This window comes from Homo sapiens, chromosome 1, assembly GCF_000001405.40.
Source record: "Homo sapiens chromosome 1, GRCh38.p14 Primary Assembly".
Taxonomy (NCBI): Eukaryota; Metazoa; Chordata; class Mammalia; order Primates; family Hominidae; genus Homo; species Homo sapiens.
In genome coordinates this window covers 218,341,931-218,366,086 of record NC_000001.11, presented here as the reverse complement: position 1 = coordinate 218,366,086, position 24,156 = coordinate 218,341,931, and the positions used below count along the sequence as shown (strand labels likewise).

At 42.5% G+C, this 24,156-nt stretch overlaps 1 protein-coding gene and 1 long non-coding RNA gene across 5 annotated transcripts in view, besides 3 other annotated features; one reads left to right on the top strand and one right to left on the bottom strand.

Annotated features, from left to right (window-relative positions):
• Positions 1 to 20,751, bottom strand: part of TGFB2 (transforming growth factor beta 2) — a 99,284-nt gene extending 78,533 nt beyond the window's left edge. For 2 of the 4 annotated variants that reach the window (NR_138149.2, NM_001135599.4), the window contains exons 1-2: positions 19,040 to 20,751; positions 2,670 to 2,753 (exon numbers count right to left, since the gene is read on the bottom strand). Coding sequence is in view for 2 of the 4 variants with exons in the window: in NM_001135599.4 (NP_001129071.1) it covers positions 2,670 to 2,753; positions 19,040 to 19,385 (430 nt within the window). In the remaining 2 variants the exon portion in view is untranslated. The remainder of the gene's footprint in view (positions 1 to 2,669; positions 2,754 to 19,039) is intronic. The other 2 variants (NR_138148.2, NM_003238.6) reach the window with 1 other exon arrangement.
• Positions 18,702 to 19,202: an enhancer, noted in NCBI's record as "H3K4me1 hESC enhancer chr1:218520227-218520727 (GRCh37/hg19 assembly coordinates)". NCBI's record gives its function as "activates a minimal SCP1, AML or CMV promoter by ChIP-STARR-seq in primed H9 embryonic stem cells {active_cell/tissue: H9 hESC(primed)}" and the evidence as "EXISTENCE:reporter gene assay evidence [ECO:0000049][PMID:30033119]".
• Positions 20,334 to 20,383: an enhancer, noted in NCBI's record as "active region_2541". NCBI's record gives its function as "activates an Ori minimal core promoter by ATAC-STARR-seq in GM12878 lymphoblastoid cells {active_cell/tissue: GM12878}" and the evidence as "EXISTENCE:reporter gene assay evidence [ECO:0000049][PMID:35858748]".
• TGFB2-AS1 (TGFB2 antisense RNA 1) lies at positions 20,409 to 21,891 on the top strand. Its single transcript, NR_046268.1, has 3 exons — positions 20,409 to 20,484; positions 20,699 to 20,912; positions 21,625 to 21,891. It is a non-coding gene; the product is annotated as a TGFB2 antisense RNA 1 (long non-coding RNA).
• Positions 20,764 to 20,823: a silencer, noted in NCBI's record as "silent region_1819". NCBI's record gives its function as "represses an Ori minimal core promoter by ATAC-STARR-seq in GM12878 lymphoblastoid cells {active_cell/tissue: GM12878}" and the evidence as "EXISTENCE:reporter gene assay evidence [ECO:0000049][PMID:35858748]".

The following is a 24,156-nucleotide window of genomic DNA, read 5'->3' as shown; positions in this document are numbered from 1 at the left end:
CTTGAAAAGAGAAAAATGATTTCGCAGTCACATGGCTGTGAGGAGCATGGACTATTTTCTCCTCCAGGGTATTTAATTTAAAGCTGATGCAGCATCAGAGCTGCCAGTCCAATTGTCAGTGTCAGAACACGTCGTTATCAACAACACCCAGGTTAGAGTGAGAAAAGCAAGAGGCGCCACAGGCCTCACGCTCACTTCAGCCGCTCCCAACATCTCCTTGGAATGGAGAGGCGGTTCACGCAAGGTGACAGGGATGGCCCTGGAGCTGCTTGGCACAGGCCAACTTCACTTAACGAGTGTTCAGAATCACACTCAGCATGGAGAAATTCACCCTGACCCTGGATGCCTGCCCCCTGGCATACACTCACTTACATTTTTACTCAATTACTATTTCTAAGAACAGAGACAAAAAAAAAAAAAAATGCAGAGCCCCACTGCTCAGCAGCCTTGCAGGGAAGGTCTGAAAGGGGTCTGCAGGGTTTTTCCAGAGCCTGCGAGCTAGGCAAGGTGGAAGAGCCTCCCACTGTTATGGGAATCTATGTGGAGCTTGCGCCCCATCTCCCCTTCCACACCCTCAGACACTCCTGATTTTCCCTGACTCGCTGAGGAGCAGGGTGGGTTTCCAATGCTTTTTCACCAAAGGAAGACAGAAGCTCGCAGCAATTAAGTGACCGAAAATAACCCCAAGTGAGGAGTGTCTGAGAAGAAAAACCGCCCGAAGAACCAGGGTAGGCCTCTCACTTTGTTTACTATGGGAGGAAAAGATGAAAAGGAAATTAATCCCAAGTAGTAGGCAAGAAAGTTACAAAATTAACAGGACAGGATTCCAAAGGAAAAGCCAAAAAAGGGGGGAAAAGTTTGGGGTCTCTGTGGTATGGTGGCATCTGGGCCAGACCTGAATTCAGATTTTGGCTCTGTCACCAGCCAGCTCTGTGACCAAGGACAAGGTGTTTACCTCTCCAAACCACGATTTCCTAAAAAATGGGGATCGTCATTCTGGCCCTCCCTGACCAACCAATGTGGGGAAAATTAGGATGATGTGTCTTAAGTACCAGGGACATAGGGGGTATTCAACAAATGTTTTCTTTCTCTCATTCCCTCCCGTTTTCCTTTCCAAATAGCCAGTTAGCTAGGGGGAAAAAATCAGATGTTTAACTCCTTGGTTGAGCTAGTGAAATAAAATTAGAATTTAGAGTATAAAAACAAAACGTAATGACTCACAAACGGGAGCTTTAAAGGCATGATTAAACTTTTCACTCTTTTTATTCACATTGCAGCTTGTAGCCACTTTGAGGCTCTCTGTACTAAAATCAACGTATATTCTCAACAGAATGAGTTCTTTTTGAGGAAACCCCAGCTTAGGCCACTGTAAATAAACTATACTGATTTCTAACCAACAATGTGTAGGCATGATACATTGCAGAATAGGGTATCCAGTGACCTAGGCTTTTCCTAGGATAATAAAAACATTTCTTTTGTCTCTAGCCGGGACCTCCACCCACACTTAGAATCAACATAATCCAAACCTTCTCAGGGCCTCAAAAATATGCAGTGAACCAATGCCAGGATTGCAAGTCTGTTTCCTTTTTTCCTGAGCATGGTTCAGGGATAACTTTAGCCACTGAATTCCTTGAGCGTCAGGATCACCCAAGCTCTATTCTTTGTTGTGGACTCATCGTCCAGCATATAGTAAGCATTCAATAAATGGCTGAATTAATCAGTGTTCCCAATAAGAAAGGGTTGAGGACTTCTGGCTTTTGTACCCCTCAGCCTAACACCTGGTGCTGGCTCTGAGGAGCTTGCACCTGCTCCGAGGGTCAGGGCTAAGTGGTTTGAGCAAGTGGCAAGCTCACAGGTCCAGTTGGCTGAGGGCCTGACCCATGACGATCCATTTCCTTAAGCAAACGAGACATGTCAATACAAAGGTCACAAATAATCAGCAGCATAACTCCCCGACAGGTCTCCCTCTAGAGCAGGGGCGTCCAATCTTTCAGCTTCCCTGGGCCTCACTGGAAAAACAAGAATTGTCTTGGGCCACACATAAAATAGACTAACACTAACGATAGCTGATAAGCTTTAAAAATATTGCAAAAAAAAATCTCATAATTTTTTAAGAAAATTTACAAATTTACATTGGGCCGCATTCAAGGCCATCCTGGACTGCATGCAGGCCGAGGGTTGGACAAGCTTGCTCTAGAACCTTAAAGGAGAGAAAATCTCCTTTCACTTTGGTTCAGGACAAGAAACATTAATTGAGCAACTACTATGTGTCAAGAACAAGAACATAGATACAAATAAAGATATAAAAAGGAACATTCCCTTGACATTCAGGCCATGCTGTCCAACCCTCCAGAGAGTGGCCTCCATGGGGATCAGGAAAGGTGTATGTCAAATCACTCTGTGACCCCTAAAACACATATCTCATCCCCACAAGTCATTCTTTTACATGCTGCAATATAGTCATTGCATTACTTCAAAGCTATTCATCAGTTTTTCTCATGTAAACTCTTACTAAAAAAAATTCTAGGCACCTTTGTGATCGCTCAGGTACAAGGCTGCATTTCAGAATCTCATCTTGCCTCTGGCAAGTTCCCCACAGGAGACAAACACTAAAGATGGATTTGATATAACTATGTCAAACGAGGAATAAAGCAGACAAGTGTACTCACCAAGGTACCCACAGAGCACCTGGGACTGTCTGGAGCACAAGCTGCCCACTGAGCCAGAGGGTGTTGTAACAACTGGGCAGACAGCTAGGAGTTTTAAAAAGCACAGTCATTAGCTATTTTACTGAAGAGATGCCTGGCACAGAACTATACAAAGATTCAAAGTAGAAGAGGGACTCATTGAATGTTCTTATCATTTCCCCAGAAATAAGGTCCCTGCTACCTGGGGCCAGGGGATTAGACACTGAGGATCTAAGGAGGATTCCAGATTTTAGTCCCAGATCTTCTGGCATCCCTTAACCAGCAGTCAGACTCCTGAATTCAGTTTTCCCTTTAGCACGTTCTAATGTTAAAATAACAGAGTACAATTTACATACTGAAACGGTAAAATAAATACCTTGATTTATATTAAAGATGAATAAGAAAGGCTTTGACCTCCTTTGACAAAAGACAGTCTACCGATTAAGAATAAAACTTTGGTTTTCATTTGGCTGGCCTAGATTTCAGTGTTCTTAAAACCACCTGTCATCATTTCTAACCCGCATGTGAAAACTCCTTCTTGAATGAGTCAAAAATACAAGTGAATATTGGTTTGGGGCTACTTACCTACAGTTTAAAAAGCTAGAGCTCTCTGAAATGGACTAAACGCATCTTCCACAATAGTTATTACATCTGGAAAATTTGAACTTCACTTTCTTTAAAGTAACAGCAACCCAATTTGTATTTTGCCCACCATATTCTTAGAAAAGAAAGCACACCCCCTCCCCCACAAAATATCTCAAATTGAAGAGGAAATATTGCTGAGTGTTCAAAACTTTTTCCATTGGTGGTAAGGTCAATAAAAATATAGAATTTTTGCAGAAGAAGATGTTAATTCAAACCCCTGTTCTGTCACTGATTTCCTGTGAATCCATGGAGAAGTCTGTAAGATGAGGCAGACGTAACCCTGCCTCTGAGGGTTTTTATAAAATTGAAATGAGATGATATATTTAAAACAGACTGACAGACAAAAGGTGGTCAAGGAATATGAGCAGTTGTCTAACTTGTGTGACAAAAGAAGCCCTGACTGCCTATTAGGGCCTGGCATGAATATCATTCTTTCCTGGCTCCTTTCATACACTGGGAGTCCATGCACCTTCCATGTTTATAGAGCACGTCTTCTAGAAGTAACACTGCCACTATTCAGACCTGACTTGAAAACTTCTTTCAACACAAGACAAAGGCTTTGTGGACTCTTCTCTTGATTTATTTTTTATTTTTGCCATATGTGTGCCTCTTATCACTTGATTTTTAAATGGATAACAAAGACTTTTTCCATACTCTGGAACTTACCATGTCCAATATTCAGCCCACTATCAAGATCCCAGTGGCAGATTTTTCACAAATGTGTGGATTACACCTTCTAGGCGGAACACTCTTTAACTGAGATATGGGGCTCTGACTGGCCAGTGTGGCATGGAAGACGAAGACCCAACAGCGGGGATTCTATAAGCACATACTGCTATCATGTTGCCACCATATGCTGCTTCCAGCTGACATCTGCTCACATATGTTCCCACCAATAAGAAACCATGCTGTTTATTTTTAGAGGCTTCTCCACAGTCTTACAGGAAGAAAATTCCCTCAAATAACCAGTCAGCAAAGACAGGAAGCTACACTGGATATAAACGGTTTGTCACAAGATTAACAAGTCAGACAAAGTTTTCTCATTCGTATCTGACCTTTAAAAAGAGATGCTGAAAGTTATCTTAAATAAAAATCTCAAAGAATACAACCAGAGAAAGGTAGAATATGCAGAGTAAGTCACTTGGTTAGCAATACTTTTTCTTCAAACTATGGCCCTATGCATTTCTTGGGGGGATTTAAGTGCTTTTCCTGGGAAACAGCACCTTCTTCAGGCCAGTGTACGCCGTGGTGCAGAAGAGGGACAATTCTATTAAACAGAATTCAGATCCCAAGGTCACCCAGGTCATAGGAAGTCTGTGTGGGAATAAGATGAGGTAATTATTGTCACTTGCAATTTCCAGCCTGCAGTTCTCAAGTATGCACCTTTGGTTTACTTTCACTCTGCTATAAAACAGCATTAAAATCCCTTCTTTTCTTTCCTTTCTTTCTTTTTTGTTTTTAAGTAAGGCAGGAGGACAGGGAGCTCTGGTGCTGATCCAATGCCTTAGAAGTTAAGACCATGAATGAGATAGAGATGTAAGGATGCTAATGATTGTTCAGTCTACAGAAAGCAAACCTTAGTTTTAAAATAATCAGTTTTCAGGCCGGGCGCGGTGGCTCACGCCTATAATCCCAACACTTTGGGAGGCCGAGGCAGGCAGACCACGAGGTCAGGAGTTTGAGACCAGCCTGGCCAATATGGTGAAACTCCGTCTCTACTAAAAATACAAAAATGAACTGGGTGTGGTGCCACGTGCCTGTAGTCCCAGTTACTCAGGAGACTAAGGTAGAAGAATCGCTTGAACCCAGGAGGCGGAGGTTGCAGTAAACTGAGATCACACCACTGCACTCCAGCCTGGGTGACACAGTGAGACTCTGTCTCAGAAAAAGGAAAAAAAATCAGTTTTCAATCATCTACATCATTGAAGCAGCACTGAGGTATGGATACACTCTGTTTAGAACAGTGAGGCTTTGGATATATGCGAAAAGGCTTTGTAACAAAGAAATGTAAAGAATTCTCAAAATCTGAGGCATTTATAGTCTTACAAACATAACTTTTTTTATTTTAAATTTTATTTTATTTTATTTTAAGTTCCGGGATACATGTGCAGGATGTGCAGGTTTGTGACACAGGTAAACGTGTGCCATGGTGGTTTGCTGCACCTATCAACCCCATCACCTAGGTATCAAGCCCTGCATGCATTAGCAATGAATCCTGATGCTCTCCCTACCCCATCCCCACTGACAGACCCCAGTGTGTGTTGTTCCCCTCACTACGTGCATGTGAGAAACCTGATATTTTTAGAAGAACGCAGGCACTCACTAATTTATGATGGGGGACTATGGGTAACACAAGTCATAAAATAGAAACAGTCCTAGAATTAAAACTTCGCATGGGTAATTTACAAAGTAATTAAATGACTAGGAAGTTAATTAACTGTAACAATGTTGGGGTTTATTTTTGCCTGCAATGACACAGCTAAGAAATAAAGCAACAAAACAAAAATACACAGTGTTTCCAGAGTATGTTTCTGAACTATCTGCACAAGGATCACCTGGCCGCCTTATCAAGATGCAGGTTTCTGGAGCCCATCTTAAAACGAACTGAATTATAATCTGAATTGGAGTGGCTGACAAAGGCTTGGGAATCTACATTTATAAAGGTACATCAGTAATTATTTTGCATGGTAAAATTTGAGAACCCTGGTACAGGTTATTATGCCTTACAGGTTAGCAAGGCCTTTTACAGAACCTCATTTGACCTCAAAACAATCCAATCAGGTGAATCAAGGAAAAATTATTCCCTCATAAGGGCTATTTGTTCTGAGTAGGTAGTGGTTTTGTCTACTGTGAGGGTCTATAGGATAGAGATAAAGCCATTCTTACTGCAATGATATCTTAAGTAAAATTAGATGTCTTACAAATGTACAACTAAACTCCCTATCAAATAAGCTCCTGCCCTAATCCCTCCAGCCTCTCCACACAAACAAACAATGCATCTCTCTTGTGATATAGCAACTCTGTAAGTGGGTACAATCATTCCTCCCAACACTGAACTACAATGAGTTTCTACTCTTCTTAGAGAATTCTCAGCAAGAAAGGGAAAACTGATCCAAATGTATAACAATTCAGGGTCAGCTTAGATCAAGACCCTCTTTCTATAATCTGAGTACTTGTGACAAACAGTTAATAAAATTAGACATGACTTTACACACATAGTTTCATTATTGATGGTGATATTTTCTGACAGTGGAATTCTTCTGAAATACCTCTCTCTCCAGGACAAACTAGCACCGGTCACCTCATTCTACGTAGAAGAAAAGTGTAAGTTTAGTAGGTGGAATCATGGCAGTTCAGGACTTAGTTTAGAGATCCGATCAGTGATTTTAGTTAACACACATAATAACCTAAGGCTTAATACTATGAAGAGATACAAATGAGTGACTAAATTACTATCCAAAACAACTTAATGTTTTAAAAATGCCTCAAGATATCTCAGACAGAAAACAGTGAAGACAGGTACAAGAAACCCAGGGTGGTGAAGTTTAACAGATCCATCTGAAGGTGGAACCTCCTGCTTCAGAGCCTGAGGTCATGGCTATTATTCAGCTTTGCTTCTGCTTGGCTACTTCCAGGTAGGAGTCAGAGGTTTGGTGCACTCCTTCCTCTGTCTCCCTCTCGTTAACCTGCAGAGCCCAAAATGCCAAGGATGAACTTGAATGTAGAAACATTTTCCCCACAGAAAGCCCTGACTGACCTCTGGGGGGACCGTTCCTTGACCAAACCACCCATCCTTTGCACAGAAAAGTCCTCCATCTGTGATTGTTTCTTTATCTGTCTAAAGTAGAATCAGAATAAGTCATTCACACTTTTCTGGAGTTTCTAAGCCAGCAGTTTTATTACAAGAGTTCACTGCTGGGTGCGGTGGCTCACGACTGTAATCCCAGCACTTTGGGAGGCCAAGGCAGGCAGATCATGAGGTCAGGAGACTGAGACCATCCTGGCTAACACGGTGAAACCCCGTCTCTACTAAAAAAAATTAGCTGGGCATGGTGGGGGGTGCCTGTAGTCCCAGCTACTCGGGAGGCTGAGGCAGAAGAATGGCATGAACCCCGGAGGCAGAGCTTGCAGTGAGCTGAAATCGCACCACTGCACTCCAGCCTAGGTGACGGAGCGAGACTCTGTCTCAAAAAAAAAAAAAAAAAAGAGTTCACTATAAAGGAAGTAGAAACAACTGCAGTCATATTGCCATAAGATGTCAAAGCAAAAGTGAAAATAAGTGAAAATGAGATTAAGCCAATAGATAGGGGAATAAATGATCATATTTTAAAAAAATCAAAATAGAAGAAATGACAAAGTTACTGCTACATCTGGTGTAAACAGAAAAATCCCTGATAAACTTGGTCTAAGAAGCACTGACATTACCAACACTGAAATGAATCCAAAACTTTAAAATTAAATTATATTTCTCAGAAAATTCCCATCTATGTTTTGGCAACAATAAATATTTTAGAGCTCTGAAAATCCACTAAAAAGTACACAGTCATCTTTTTCAGATGGAGAGATTTGCAAAGACCAGTGGACTTGCGGTCATTTCAGTGTCTTTCTCAAAACCAAATTTTGCATTCTTGCTTACAAGATGAAGTAACAAATAAGGATTCTTACAATAGCCTAAAATTATGAATGAATAGTTATTTGCAAACTAGCTTGTCAAGACAGATGTGGTATTTGTCAGTGTCGTGTGGGTTAGATAAGAAAAGTAAAATAAACAGAGCCAAAGTCACAGTCACAACGTTTTTCTTTTTCTTTCAGAAGACCAAAAAGATACTACAGTACTTCCTGAAACAACAACTCCAAAAGACCAGTGTTATTCTTAAATAGCTACTCCATGACTTTTTCTTCAGAAACGCAGCGTCTCTTCTTCAGAAATAACCTGTTTCATAATTACCGACATATAGATAGCTTGGAAGGCCTGAGGGACGGGGACACGCTAGTGGAACATGCTAGTGTGAGAGAAAAACAGCTGCCTGTGGAGGGATGGAAATGCATTCAAACTATTTCCAGAAGGTTTGGACTTTACAATATCCAGGAAGCATTTTCCATTTGCCTTAAGTTCCTCAAGTCATTGTGGTTGAGGGAACATCTAAGCCAAACATTTCTGACTTATCAGGCAGTAACAAATCCAAGCGTTCATTTGAGAGAATGAAGGGATGGTCCCGGCCCAGGGAGGACCGCTTTCTCAGCACGATGAGGCTTTCCCTCCTAACAGACACTAAAGCCAGTGAATTCAATTCCTCTTGGACAGCAATGTTTTTCCACATCACTGAAGTGGTGTTACTGGGTTGCCCCAGGAAAGCCAGGATGCTAACTCACTGAGAGAATATGTTGCACTGTGAACAACTACCCAAGGCCTTAGTGTGGCTTCCCCTCTCTGATATCATTTCTACTCCTCAAACCCTCTGCAGTTACTCTCGACCAGCCCCTCCCCTTCATCTCATCCAGCTTCCTCTTTGAGATTTCTTTTTTTTTTTTTTTCATTTTTCAGATGAAGTCTTGCTCTTGTCTCCCAGGCTGGAGTGCAGTGGCGCAATCTCGGCTCACTGCAACCTCTGCCTCCCGGGTTCGAGCAATTCTCCTGCCTCAGCCTCCCAAGTAGCTGGGATTACAGGCGCCTACCACCATGCCCGGCTAATTTTTGTATTTTAAGTAGAGACAGGGTTTCACCATATTGGCCAGGCTAGTTTCAAACTCCTGACCCCAGGTGATCCACCCGCCTCAGCCTCCCAAAGTGCTGGGATTACAGGCGCCAGCCACTGCACCCGGCCTCCTCTTTTAGATTTCTACACCGTAATGTCATACTATTGCTAAAGCCGCCTTTAAAATGAATTGCCTGAAGGCTAAGAGGCGGCTGTGGCCAGTGCTTGGTTGCGGAGGTGAGATGAGGTCTACATGAGTATAACCACAGCTGCCTGACCTGCCTCAGCCTTGACTCCAAATGTCCTGGTTTCTTTTCAACCAGTGGAAGTGATGAGAGACAGGACACCTGTGAGGAGAAGCGAAACCAGCCCCAGAAGCACATTACATAGAAGCCCCGCCTGCATGTCAGTCTTTTATAGGCAACATCCCCTCTGTTCTTTGATTTTGGACTTTGGGATCCAGAAAAATAAAGAGGCAAGTACTATGTGACACATATGAACCTTCAGAGATCAGTTCAAATAGTTTAAATAATTTTTCCCGGCTGGGTGCGGTGGCTCACATCTGTGATCCCAGCACTTTAGAAGGCAGAGGCAGGAGGATTGCTTCAGGCCAAGAGTTCAAGACCAGCTTGAACAACATGACAAGACCCCAGCTCTACAAAAAAATTGAAAAAATTAGCCAGGCATGGTGGTGCATGCCTGTGGTCCCAACTATTGTAGAGGCTGAGGCAGGAGGATAACTAGAGCCCAGGAGATGGAGGCTTCAGTGAGCCATGTCTGTGCCACTTACTCCAGCCTGGGCAACAGAGTGAGACTGTCTCGAAAAAAAAAAAATTCCCCTAAAAATTTATATACCCTTTGAAACAAATGGTAAATCTTGAGATGTCAAAAATAAAATAAAAACAAAAAAATTTTGATTTCCAAGACTCTGGCTGGGAGGAGTATATACTATGTGGATCTCCTGTTCTTGATTCCACAGATGGGCTCCTAACATTCATTAACTAGAAAACGTTTCTGAGGGCAGATGTCATGCCTCCACTTAATTTCATTTTCCATGTACTTCTGCTATAGCACTCTATACCATGTGCACATAGACCGCTATTCTTTATTTCACAAACCTTTATGTGATTTCACTGATTCTATATATTTTTCATATTCTATTATTTCTAAAATCCAGATTCTCTCTTATAATCAATGGCTGAGTTAATTGGCAGTGACATTTAGTTAATGTTATAACTAATAGTTAAATGGGCAGTGATATTTCTTTGTTAGTGGCACATAAAATAGTGGTGCATTTTAAAGTCAATGAGATTCGATGAATAATAGCTGCTGTGGAAAGAAGGCCAGAAGCAGCTGCACCAGGTGCTTTTTCACACACATCATCCTTTACAACCCCTAGAAAGTCGATGTTCTTCTTTACAAATGAAGAAACTGAGGCTGGGCTAAGTGAAGGGGTTTCAAATCCAGCTGCAAAGCCGACAGTGGCAGAGCCAAGATCTGAATTCGGTAGGAAGCAACTTAAATATCAATGAGGCAGTTTTAATGACTTGCACTGAGAGAGCCAAGTTGCTAACCAAAACAGGACCACTCTTTAACAACTGCCACAGGCCTGGAGTAGGATTTCTTGTCTTTGATGTTACCGCTTCCATTTCAGCCTTTGAGATTCCTTTGGTACAATTCCCTTTTATTTATTCTCCTTTCTTTATTTAATGGGTCTGTCCAGCTCCAAAGTCATCATGCTCATTGTATATCATCTTGCCTTCCCAAATAAATTAATTCTCTGAAATAGGAATGCCCTATCAATAAAATTTATCAAAATTTTTGTGAGGAAAATGATTGCAGTTCAAAAACAAAACCAAGGCTGGGCACGGTGGCTCGGGCCTATAATCCCAGCACTTTGGGAGACCGAGGCGGATGGATCACTTGAGATCAGTTCGAGACCAGCCTGACCAACATGGTGAAACCCCATCTTGACTAAAAACACAAAAATTAGCTGGGCGTGGTGGCACATGCTTGTAATCCCAGCTAGTTGGGAGGCTGAGGCAGGAGAATTGCTTGGACCCGGGAGCCAGAGGTTGCAGTAAGCTGAGATGGTGCCACTGCACTCCAGCCTGGACAACAGAGCAAGGCTCTGTCTCACAAACAAACAAACAGAAACAACCAAAGTCTTAATAAATCACACTTTTTGTATCAATTAAGTGCAGAAATAAAAGTTGAATGTGTTAAGAGGCAAGAAAAAAAAACCCAGGTTGTGTGCTTCAGAGGTATATTTTCTCAGTGCTTGTGAATGTAATTCTTGTTAACAGAGGAGAGCCACCATTCTTCCATGGATGTATTACATCATTTATCAAGAAGGCAAGAAAGGTCATGCTCTCTATTTCCTGGGCTCTGTATTAGGGCTCCTATTACCTGTGGTGGCTGAAAGTCTAATTTCCATAACACATCACTAATAGAAATAGCTATTTCCATTTCCTCAGCTGTCAAAGGGACAGTATGAGTATTAACCTCATAGGATTGCTTGTGAGTATTAAAGAGTACATATATGTAAAATATTTAAAACTATGCTTGGTTTATAAGTCTTCAATAAAGGTTAGCTATGCTTGGCCTGTAAAAAGTCCTCAATAAAGGTTAGCTTTAATCATCATTATCACCACCTTCATTATTATCTGAGAATTGGAAACAGAAAATATTATGGTTATGAGAATCCCTGTGCTCTTTAGCATAGTGACATGACCCATCAGACACATTTTCCCTGATAATGAAGGTCAGAACATTTCATCTCTCCGCATCTCCTGGCCCTGACACCTCTTTGAACTCACAGATTCTTCTTCTTCCTGTAGTTCAATCTCATTCTGTAAAGGGAATGCTCATCCATTTGTCAAACATTCCTTGATCAAACACAATATGCTAAGTTCTATAAGAATATAGATAAGTTAGACTTGATTTCTGTTCCTGGGGCAGTCTACAAACCAATGAAGAAGACAGCCCAGAACAGAGTTAGATCTTACTAAGATCAAAAGAAAAGAGGGAGAGATAGAGATAACCATCAGTATAGTAAGAGTGCAAAGGAAGAGCTAATTAAATAAGACTAGGACAATCAAGGAAGGTTTTCTAAGGAGGTGGCATCTGACTAAGCCCAGAAATATTTTGTTTTATTTTGTTATGTTTAGAGACAGGGTCACGCTCTGTTGCCCAGGCTGGAGGACAGCGGGGCAGTCATAGCTCACTGCAGCCTCAAACTCCTAGGCTCAAGCAATCCTCCTGCTTCAGCCGCCCAAGTAGCTAGGACTACAGGCACATACCACCAGGCCCAACTAAATTCTCTGTAGAGACAAGATCTTGCTATGTTGCCCAGGCTGGTCTTCAACTCCTGCCCTCAAGTGATCCTCCCGCCTCAGCTTCCTAAAGTGCTAAGATTATAGGCGTGGGCCACCACACCAGGCAGAAGGATTTTTAAAGGTGTGAAAAGATAGATCTCTATGTAGAAGAAACAGCATAAACAAAGACCCCAGAGGCATGAAAATAAATGGCCCATTTGGGTAAAGGCAAAGAGGACAATGTGACTGGAGTATAGTTTTCATGCAGGGATTTAGTGAGAGGAGGGGCTGAGCAAGGAGGAGGGACCAGACCCTGAAAGGCCTGAATCTAATTGCCTAAACTCTCAGGCCTTCTCATAGGAGAACTGGATAGTGCCAGACATGGTGAATTACCAACCCTATGTTCTCTGTTTCCAGCCCCATCCCATCCCTGCCCTGAAGTGTCAGAGGCCACCTAAGGAACAAACTGAGTGAGCAAAGGAAAGAGATCCACTGAGTGGAACTATCGCAAAGGAAAAGAATGAGCTGGAGGTTCCAAGACATCCGAGGTTAATGGAAGTGGTTCCTGGGGTATCGCTCATAATCACATTTTCATCTCCCTAAAATCCAGACCCTCTCTTAAAATCAATGGCATGATCACTGAAGTGATATTTTTTTCTTAGTGGCACATAAAATAATGGTATACCCTGAAGTCAAAGGCATTTGAGACTCAGAGAATTGCTGCCAGGCAAAGAAGACCTACTCCATGCCAGAGCAGCTGCACTAGGTGCTTCTTCACATATGTCATCATCAATCCTTACAACCCTAGAAGGCCAGTGTTACTTTCTTCATCTTTACAAGGGAAGAAACTGAGGCCTGGTTAAGTAAAGGGGGTGCTGTCTCCCACAAACTCAGTAGAGTATCAAATGGGACATGATATGTGAGCACTCGACCATCCATCCATGCAGACATTCCATCACAATGAAGGAAAAGAAGGCAATTTAGAGATGGTAGGGAAGAGGCCAAGGGGCAGTTTCATTCAGAGTCAAGACCACCAAGCCAATTCAGGAAGTAAGGTAGTGGTGAGAGTGTGGGGCACTTAAACACCCACTTCTGGATATCAGCGCTTAGAAAAGAAACAAAACAGCCAACCATCAAAAGCAGCTTGTGGTTGTAGCATGATGCAAATTTATTCCAAACAAATGACAGAAGCAAACTTTTCAGTCTAAACAAACCCATCAAAGAATCCCCTAACATATTATTAAATCTAAAATAAAATACCTGGAGAACGTTGAATTCCCAGGTTAAAAACTATCATTGTTTAAAGGATATTTTTTAAAATGAAAGCACACATATGCCTTCAAAATGACAATGGGCATTTGTTTATCTCGGGCAGAGCCACATTTCATCAAGCTGTGCAGAATCTGCAAAATGGAATCCACCCTTGAGCAGAAGCGCTGCCTAAATAGAGCAAGCACATCTGGCAAATCCAAATCCTCTCTCCGGGAGCCCATCAGTACCGGAAATGCTACATCAAGATAGCGGAAGGGGCTATTTCCAGAGCTCTTCCATGCAGTCTCTTGCTCGGCTGCTCACCTTACTCCTGAACCTATAATGGGGCGGGGTGGGGTGGGGGTGCTGTGGGCAAGGGGCAGGGGGAGGCGGGCTGGAGTGGCAGTGGGCCAGAGTCCCACTCCAGTGGTGACCCTGCACACCTCTCCCAGGGCCAGGAGCCTCCACTCTAATTTCTCGAACCTTCTAAATATGCAGCCTAAAGTGTGTTGTAATCTCTGGGCGAAGGCCTACAAGTCAGTGAACTCCTTGGTTCTAACCCAGATTTGATGTGGGTTCAACAGTGAGTCATTAGCCCTTTTTTCACATCTCAGTTTCCTCTAGGAAAAACGATCTGTCATTCTTTCATATCTTTATATGAAAGATGCTGCGACTAGGTTACATCACCATCTTTTCACCAGGGAGAAATCATTCAAAAAGTGCAACTCCTCGAGTAGACCACAGGGGTTGCTGTGGAGACGCAGTGGGCTCCCCCAACCCCTTCCTTCTGTGAGGTGGAGAGGTCCCCACCTGCCCCTCAACCTCTGCAAAGCCCCTCTTTCATCGGGTGGGGTCTCCTCAGGAGAGGCATAAAGCTGGCTGGCCTCACTTGGCAACAAAGACGACCCAACTGCTTTCGTTATAAATAGTATACTTCTTTGAGAGGTTTTTCTAGTCTTTGAAAAGTAAAAAAAAGAGGAAATCCTGAAGGAGGAGCATGTGACCTAACTTAAATGTAACCACAATTAGACACTAGAGTTAGTACAAGCAACGATGCAATAAAAAAGGGAGAATTAAAGTTTGGTCTGTTGTATATTAATAACTCAATCATTCTGGAAGTCAAGAAGTTCAAGTCTGTCTTTGATACGCTCTCTTTTTCTTTCTGTTTCTATCTCATACACCCACATGCAAACACACACATAGAGAATCCTAAAAAATAAAATAGTAAAAATGCTTACTACATAAAGCAAAAATACCACTACGTTCCAGCAATCGCTAACATTTTCCTTCATTGGGCAAGTGGCCAACAGACCAGCAACTTGTATATAGAAAGACATATTCATGAATTGAATGCTAAGTCACATTCCCCAAAACCATAGTGTCATTGGTATTCATTCTACATTCCACAATTTAACTTGGAAAATTACAGAGGAAATAGAAAAGGAGATTGCTTCATGTTAAATGTTTAACACTCATGTGAAACAACTACAAAGGGAATCTCATTGTGATTTTTCAGGCTGTATATTTTTAGTGTATCTACTTCAAAATGGTAGAATAAATCAAGATGATTATTTACTTTCTTCCATTGCCTAGCTTGGAGATTCCACTCTTTGTTAACACAAACTGCTTATTTCCCTTGCAAGGGGAATCCATGATAATTCCTCACTTCTTTTTTCTCTGTTCTAACATCACACTGCTGCTGACTGAAGCTAGTAATGGATAGGTCAACACCATCACTTAAGCTAAATAAATGGGAAGTTTTGATGTCTCTAATTTAGGGGCTTTAAGACCACAAAAAATAAAGTACATACTGTATACAATGGTCTAATCCACACTCCATTTAATTAAGATAACTGTCTGACTATCCTCCTATTCAGTATTCTCATTTGAATATGCTTTGATCATAAAGATATTTTATTTTTGTTATTATTTTCTAAATGGTACTGTTAACAGAATTCAGTAACCCCCAACAAATACCAGGGCTCCTCAACAGAGGCATTACTGACATTGTGGTCAGGATAATTCTTTGATGTTGGGAATGGGGGGTTGCCCTATGCATTATAGGATGGTTAGAAACATCCCTGGCTGACCCACTAAATACCGGTAGCACCCCTCCACCTCCAGTCATGACAACCCAAAGTGTCTCTGGACATTGCCAAACGTTCCAGTGGGAGTAGGGGTGCGGGTGTTGGGGGGAGTACAAAATCACCAGGGTTAGAACCACAACATGTGCTGATTGGTTACAATGAAAAAGGGAGAGAAAAGAAAGAAAATGAAACGTTGTGTCTCTTCCTCTTTTTGATTGTCGGACTCTCTACAGATTCTTACATGTCAATTATTTGAATTCTTCCTGTGTATAACTGAATCACCCTTTCTAAGTTTCTAAAACCTTGTGCAGCATCTTTCGAATAGATGTGCCTCGAACTTCAAATGGATTGTTAAACTACTAGAGGTCCACTAATTCCCAGTGGGCAAACTATCGGTAAACCTTAGCATAACTCCACTTCGAGTCTTAAACTAACAGCACGTGAAAAGATCAATATGAATAAATTCAAAACTAATCAGACCCCTTCTTTAAATGTTGACACAGTATTATTTATATCCCATAAATACATTCTTGACTAAAATTCATCCTAGGAGATTGGCACCTGGCCAGTTCTATTCATATTTACTGTATTTATATAGTATACTTGGCCAAGGATAATATTTAAGACAAAATATGCCTCAGGGCATATACAATATCTCTTATATTTTTACTTTTAAATCTCCACATTGCTAAAAATATGTAGTCTGAACTTTATAAAATGTCCCACAAAGGGCTATCAGCAATCTGTAATGATATATAGCTCATTGAGTATAATTAGAGCATATTTGTAATACTTGAGCTGAAGTCACTCCCTGAACGCTAATAAGTTGATGGTAAAAAATGAACCAGTGATCTTTCCCATGGCTTCATCTCTGGGGCTTATGACCCTCGCCAGATTCACTGCAAGGAATGACAGGCACACTCCCTCCCCACAGCCACTTCAGTGACAGCTGAGTTAAAAGTTAGGCAGAAAAGTCCTAAAGAGGGAAAGCTGGTATATAAGCCAATGCTGTACTTTCAATTTGCTTTTTAAAAATATGGTTTTTTTCTTTTTTTCCTTTTTTTTGGAAGGGTTTGCTATATTCCAGTATAACTAAAAAGTGCTGGAAAATCAGTTAACCTATTTTCTATAAAATTATCCAGTCCTTGCACAGTAGTATCGAACCTGCTATTAATATGGCTTTCTGCTCCTAAACTTCCATACAGAATACAGACTTTTTAAAGCCTGTATTCTTTGTATGAAAACTGGCAGTATATTTTATTTATCTTGGACGTATCGGAGGTTTTCATTTATTTGGTGGCTGGGGTGAAATGGAAAGGAGAATCCACACATTGATGTTAAATGCCATACTCTGAAATCCTCCTAATAATCTAGGAATTTTTCCAGTTTGTTGATGACCATGACCCTGGGTTGGATCATCTCAGCTCTTCAGACTGAAGTGTGCTTCAGAGAACAAAGAACTAATGCCCTCTTGGGTTACTTGCTCTCTCCACACCTATTCAGTAAATGGGATCAGAGCTCCTTTCTGTGTTATAGAAGTGCTGGCAGTTTATTAGACCTTTTGCATATAAACATTGAAAGATGAGTTATTCAGGTTCTACATAACATACTTTCCGCTCTGCCCAAATACCGGTAGAACCGATGCACATGCTAGAGAAAGCAAACTGACTGAACTCCTTGTTTGTCTCAATGGTTTTGGACTAATTACAATGAACTTTCTTTCCTAATATCTCCTTGGCTCCACCCCAGATAGAAAGCTTTACTTCCCAAAGGGGATAACCAGGGGTGGAGTGTATTTATCACCGCTGTTGCGGATAGTGCCATAATTACAATAATAAAATCATCCTGCTTGCCAGAATTCTCTGCATCTGTTCTGCTATTGAACAAGAACAGGAGAAACTGCAGCAAAATAAGGGTCACTAGGAAGACTGGGGTTAGATACATGGGCTGACTTCTGAGACCATCAAGTACAAGACATGGCAGGTCACATAGCTAGGACTTGTCAAACTAAAAATAAATATTAAAAAAGAAAAGCACCACCCTGCAACTAGAACCTTTAAGAGAAAATTACCAAGATGGCTATATTATCTATTTAGGCAAGACACAGAGACTTTGCAAAGGCAGCCAGCAAGTATACAGGGCATGGAAAGGGGAGGAGAGAAATGAGCAACCAATGAAAAGTTTATGACTTGGGATTTGGAATACACAAATGTTGAAGAGGTTCCCCCCACCCCGCCCCCACTTTTCTTTTTCTTCTTCCTGGTATTTAACCCTCTCAGGTATCAAGTGGATGCTGCTGCCCCTTTTCTTTCTTTCTTTCTTTTTTTTCTTTTTTTAAGAACTCTGAAATCATTCTACACTGTCTGTTCCCTTCCTCTGCAATAAATCATTTCACTCCTATTGCTACTGTATGCCAGCTGGTTTTGAGGACACTGTTCTCAGAGAAGCCAGTAAAAAAAAAAAAAAAAAATACGGCTGTCGTCTACTCTGAGTTTTAGGAATGCATTGAAGTAACTGCAGGAAGCCTACGAAAAGGCAGGAGCAGGATAACAGACCCGTAAGAAAAATGATCTGCTACACTGGAGATGTGAAGAAGGCAGGTTTGAGTGTATTCTGAAAAATAACGTGAACAAAACCTTTTAAAACACAGTCAGAAACGGAGTTGTCCTTTCTACACTCCAGGTTAAGTGAAAAGGGAACGTGGTTATAGGATTTTGCCTTTGGGTAATGAAACACCTAGTGATAGCAAATGATACATCAAGGACTGAGGGCCAGGTAGGTTTCTCGAGGGGTCTCCAAACCGGGTTTTGTCTCGGCGATGCTGACATTTTTAGGGTAGTTAGAGACAATAGAGAAGGCTTGGGGAACCAGCTGATAGGTCAGCACGGAAAGGGGGCGCCTTCCGGAGAGGCTAGTTTTGAGACACTTTTTTTAACCCTTCGTGCACCAGTTCGGCGCGCTCCACGCCAATCGGAGCAAAGAAAACAAACCTACCAAGATTCCTCAGTTTAACTCTGCCCCTGGGAGCACCTCTAGTTTGACAGAGTGGGGCTGACTCCTAGCTGGTGGCCGACTAAAGAACTTCAGGGAAGAGAAAAAGAGAATAACGCCTTTTAAAGCACCGAATTGTTAGGGGGAAGGGAAAGATGGAGAAAATAAAGTAGAAAGTAAACATTTTAAAGCCTGATGGCCTCAAGCATACAACTGAAAAGGAGGTGGTGGGGTGAAGGACAGGAGAACGGGAAAAGAGCGAACGGGAACCGCGAGAGGGAAGGGCGATCCCGGGAGCTGCTGCGGTTTTGAGAGCTCCGGGCAGAGCTAAACCTCAGGGGATGGAAGTCAAAATAAGTACTTACTTTCGGAGGGGAAGAAGGGCGGCATGTCTATTTTGTAAACCTCCTTGGCGTAGTACTCTTCGTCGCTCCTCTCGCGCTCGCAGGCGGCCGCCCTCCGGCTCGCCTTCTCCTGGAGCAAGTCCCTGGTGCTGTTGTAGATGGAAATCACCTCCGGGGGGACTTCCTCGGGCTCAGGATAGTCTTCTGGGGGACTGGTGAGCTTCAGCTTGCTCAGGATCTGCCCGCGGATCGCCTCGATCCTCTTGCGCATGAACTGGTCCATATCGAGTGTGCTGCAGGTAGACAGGCTGAGCGCGACCGTGACCAGATGCAGGATCAGAAAAGCGCTCAGCACACAGTAGTGCATTTTTTAAAAAAGTGGAAAAAAAAGTTGTTTTTAAAAGTCAGAATAAAAAAAAGAAATCAACAATTCTCAAAGTATAGATCAAGGAGAGTTGTTTGGTTTTTTGTTGTTGTTGTTTTTGATGCGAAACTTTTGCAAACAATCTAGTCAATGCCCAACAGAAAAACGTATCCTGCTTGAATTCCTTTAAAAAGAAAAGGCCAGTAGTTCCAAAAGTGGAAATATTAATACGGGACGGGCAGAGGGAACCCTGACTTTGGCGAGTAAGAAGAAAAAAATTCTTGGAGCAATGAGATGGGGAAAAAAAGAGACGAGTGGCTATTAAGTAGAAATAAATTTAAGAGGAGGAAGTGGAGTTCAGTGTGTCAGTCTCGGGTGCGGAGTGGCGGATCTGAACTCGGCTCCTCCGGCCAAAAGGGAAGAGATGAAAAGGTCCCGGGGCTGGCAGCTGGCGAACTGACGGGAGGGGCGCCGGGAGCGCGGTGAGGGGGGCCGCCGAGGCTGACCTGGGCTGAAATTTATATATTTAAAGAAGGAGCGGTTCGGTCCTGCCTTCCACTGCGGCGCTGAGAGCAGGAGCAGCAGCAGCTCCGGAGCAGAGAAGCGCACACGTGTGTGCGTGCGTGTGTGTGTGTGTGTGTGTGTGTGCGTGTGCGCGCGCTGGGGGCGAGCCCAGCGCACCGCGGGGAGGAGGGTGCGCTTCGCAGGGCGCTCGGTACTCGGTCGGGTGCCGCAGGGGCCGCAGAGGCTGCTGAGGCGGCGCGGATCCTGCTCTGGGAGCTGCGCTCCGTGGCCTACACCCTGGCGGGCGCGCGCTGACCCGCTTGGTTACTCCACGTTGCTGCCGCCGCCGCTTGCAAACGCTTCCAGCCTCCAGCTCCCTCCTTCTCCTGCTCCTCCTTCTCTTGCTCCAAACGCCAACCCAGCCACAGACGATCAGCCGTCGCGGTTGCGTTCACCCCCTGCGGATCACAACGGCAGCCCTTGCGACACCCTGGCTGGGGAGTTTTATTCCTGAGGGGGTTGCGCAGGGGCTCCCTTGGACTCCCACCCTTTCCCAACCTCTGCTGGCTTCTCCCCAACGTGGAATTGCTCGCTTAGGGTAGGTAGGCACTTGCCACCCTAAAATAGATCCTCTCTGTCTCCTCCTGTCTGCAGCCGGGCAGCCCCTCAGTTTGTTCCTGGATGACTCCCTAGACCGTCAGGCTAATATTCTCCATCCCCCTCCCCTGCCTCTTTCACTTGCGCTCTCGCTCTGCTGTCTCTTTCTCTCTTTCTCTTTCTATCTCTATCTCAATCTGTCTTTCTCTTGTCAGGAGCTTCTGGAGCTCCGCTCGGAGCGAACCTTCTGCTGCCAGCAGATAACATCACGATCTTGCCGGGGAGGGGAGATTTATAAGTTCTCTCTGAACCACGTGTCTGCCTTCAACAAAGTGACGTGCTAGGATTACAGTCAGAAGTCCTCTCGTTACTTAGACCACGAGCTCTCCCCGAACCGTTGAGGGAGTGTGGAAATGAGGACCGCTGTGGGTAAGGGAGGAAGGAGGTGGAATGTGCGCCCTGACAACAGTGATTTACGGTATTTACTTTCCAGTCATTTTGGACAGGTCTGTTGAAGGAAGGACAATCAAGTCTCCCGTTTTTACTTAGTGTAGCTCAGTCACAGCCTCCCAAGCTGAATCACTTGCTCTAGAAGGGAAGGCTTCCCTCCTGTATTATGTGTGCACACGCACCCCTATGGGAGGGAGCACTAGTCTACTCAGGGCCAGGCCAGTACTGAAGACATACCTTCCAATCTTTTAAATTCATGTCCTACCTCTTATTTTCTGGGATACCTTAGCAGGTTGCCATCCCAGAATTTATTTTGTTAGTTTGTTGTTTACAATGTACCCCTCTGTTTGTGAACTGCTGGAAAACAGAGATCCATCAATTTTACCTAAAGAATAAGGTATACTTGTTTGTTTTACTGATTTGAATGAATGGTCACCTTTATAATTTGCTGCCTAAGCCACTTCTTGTATGGCTTTCTTCTTCACCTTCTTGCTAGGCTAAACATTATCAACCAACTTCATTCTTTCCATAGCATTAATCCAGGAAGCTGGAATTTTAAGTGTTTGATGTCTACTGTTCTACACTACTCATAACTTGACATTTTCAATTTCAACTAAGTCTAAATTAGATGAATACAAGAATAACTCTTACCACTGTTCCACCTTCCCTTTTTCTTTTATTTTACCTTTAGTTACTCAAAGTCAACATTTTCATTTCGGCATGACTCTGCAGCCATACTGACCAGACAGATGATTTAAACTGGAAACTCTGTTGAATGTACTCCCAAACCCAAGATCTCTATACTGTTCTCTACTTCAGATGTTCCTGAGTTCAGAAAAGTCACAAAGAACTTTCTATCACTTTTGGAATTTATACTTCAGTTGTGTATGGGGCCTAGGTTATTAGTAGAGCACTGAATAAATAAAATAATAATAGCTAACATATACTACACTTAGTAATTTGATGTGTGTTGTGTATGGTCATTTAATCTTCACTATGAACCTATAAAGTGGGTCTTATTATCCATATCTGGCAGATGAGGAGACTGAGGTACAAAGAAGTTAAGTACTTTGTTCGAGACCACAGTAAGTGGTAGAGCTGGATTTTTGCAGTCAGGATCCACTATGTTCTTACCTACTATGTACTTCTGAGAAACAATGGTCCCAGAATATGTTCTGACAAACAGGAATTCTGGAGTCAAACAAGTTTGGGAGATACTGGGTACTCTCCTGTCCTCTTAGATTCCTCATTCTGGAACATTATCATGTTAAAGGCTCTGAAACTCCTGTAGAAGAGAAAACCTTTTCACTCTTTTAACCCAGCATTTTCCAAACTCCCTTGAATACAGAATTTTTTCCATTATCACACATTGAAAAACTCTGGAATAAAATAATTGTTCCAACCCACTTCTGAATAATTCTAAAAATTATGTATAAATCAGCACCAGCAGGTTCCTTTCCTTGATACCAGTTTTGAGTTGAAGCAAAGCTACCATCCCAGTAGCCCAAGAAAAAGATAATCAAGAGGCGCTACTGTCAGACTAGTAGTTTCATCCAGTTAGGTCCTCCCTCTGAGTTCAGTTTGAGAACTGCAGTAGGCTAGCTCTACAGATTGGACAAAAAGTGAATATTCTTACACCTGTGGCCATTATAGACACAGAGCAGGAGCTCCAAACCAGAGCTACTGAGAGAAGATGCTGCTGTGGAATATGGCTGGTTACCTGAATTAGCTATCACTGTATTTTGCTGAGGATACAGGTTCAGCTTCCACAAGCCAGTGAGCATCTTTCATGTTTATAGACAACCTTCTTGGTACAGACACTGATGCACCTTAAGTAGATTCAGATTAGAGTGTGGATAGAGTAGCAAAAGTTCATTTACATCACTTCTAGGAAAACAGCGCAAGCCATAAATTCTGATGGCCACCCCTCTTCCTGACATAGACATACACACTTTTGTTCATAATACTTAGTTTACTGAGTACCTATTGCTCACTTAACAACTCCTTAGACCTGAGACCCCTGACTTACTCATAAGAGGCTACTTTAATTTCCCCAAAGCCCAGGAGGGTAAGACGGGAGGTATTGGTAAAAGCTTCTGGAATGGGTAAGTGCAGTAAGTGAGTATAGCAGGAGAGGAGGAGCCCCTTTCCACCTCTCAAATGATCAGTTCTTTGAAGACCTAACCGGCAAGATTGCTAGAGCTGTCTCCCTGGTAACCGTAAATGAATCATTTCTTCTATTAAATGGCTCTTATAATGCCTTTTCATCTCTATATTTAATGGAGGTCTTATGTGCCGGGGTCTCTACAGTCTTCATGGTAAAAGGGTATTTAAATGATATACACCCATCTTGATTACTTCAAGGAGGCAGGAGAGCACAGTGGTTTAAAGGGCAGGCTCCAGTCATGGTTTTTTGGGTTCAGATTTCTGTCACTTTCTGGCTTTGTGATCCTGAACAAGTTACTCACTGACTCTGTGAGTTTCTTATCCTATCATGTCTTTATTTCTGTCAAGGAATTTATAATAAAAATATCTGGCCTTCTCTCTCTCTCTCTCTCGCTCTCTCTGAAAAGCCAGGAAAGAACCCAAGAAGAATTTGCTTCTAGTTCTGCCTCCTAGTAGTTTCTGTAGGCACATTTTAAATATTATGGTATTTTGCCCCCAGTAATTATAGGAGGGAAGGACAAGAAAATACACTTTTGGTGAATAAAATGCTAAATGACTATCAAAGTTCAGTTAAGCATTCACGATTAAAGTCTCTTATTAAAGCCCTCAAATGGAATCTTTTGTTTTGAAATTACAGAGGTAGAGAGTGGAGCTGTTTCCACTCTTAGCCATTCTCCACTCATCAATGGGTCTATTCACTTAAGTAATGTGGGATTTCTACAAGAGGCTGAAGAAAACAAAACTACTCATCCCTGTCCTGGAGTTTTACGCCTATGGATCATAGGTCCTTACTAACATTGACCAAAGCATAACTTCATTTGTAACAATTCTGGAAGCTTTCCAGAACGGTTTCAAGCATGAAAAATCAGGAGGTGAAAAAAAGAAATACATGGAACGACGGTAATTGATTACATTTCCCCCCAAATAGTGATACTTGATAAATGCAAAATAACCCTTTAATATGAAAATACACCAAAAGTCTTTTAAGATTTTATTTATAATTTTATATTTGATACCACTATTCAAGAACAATGTTTGGTCTATATCAATTTTGTCT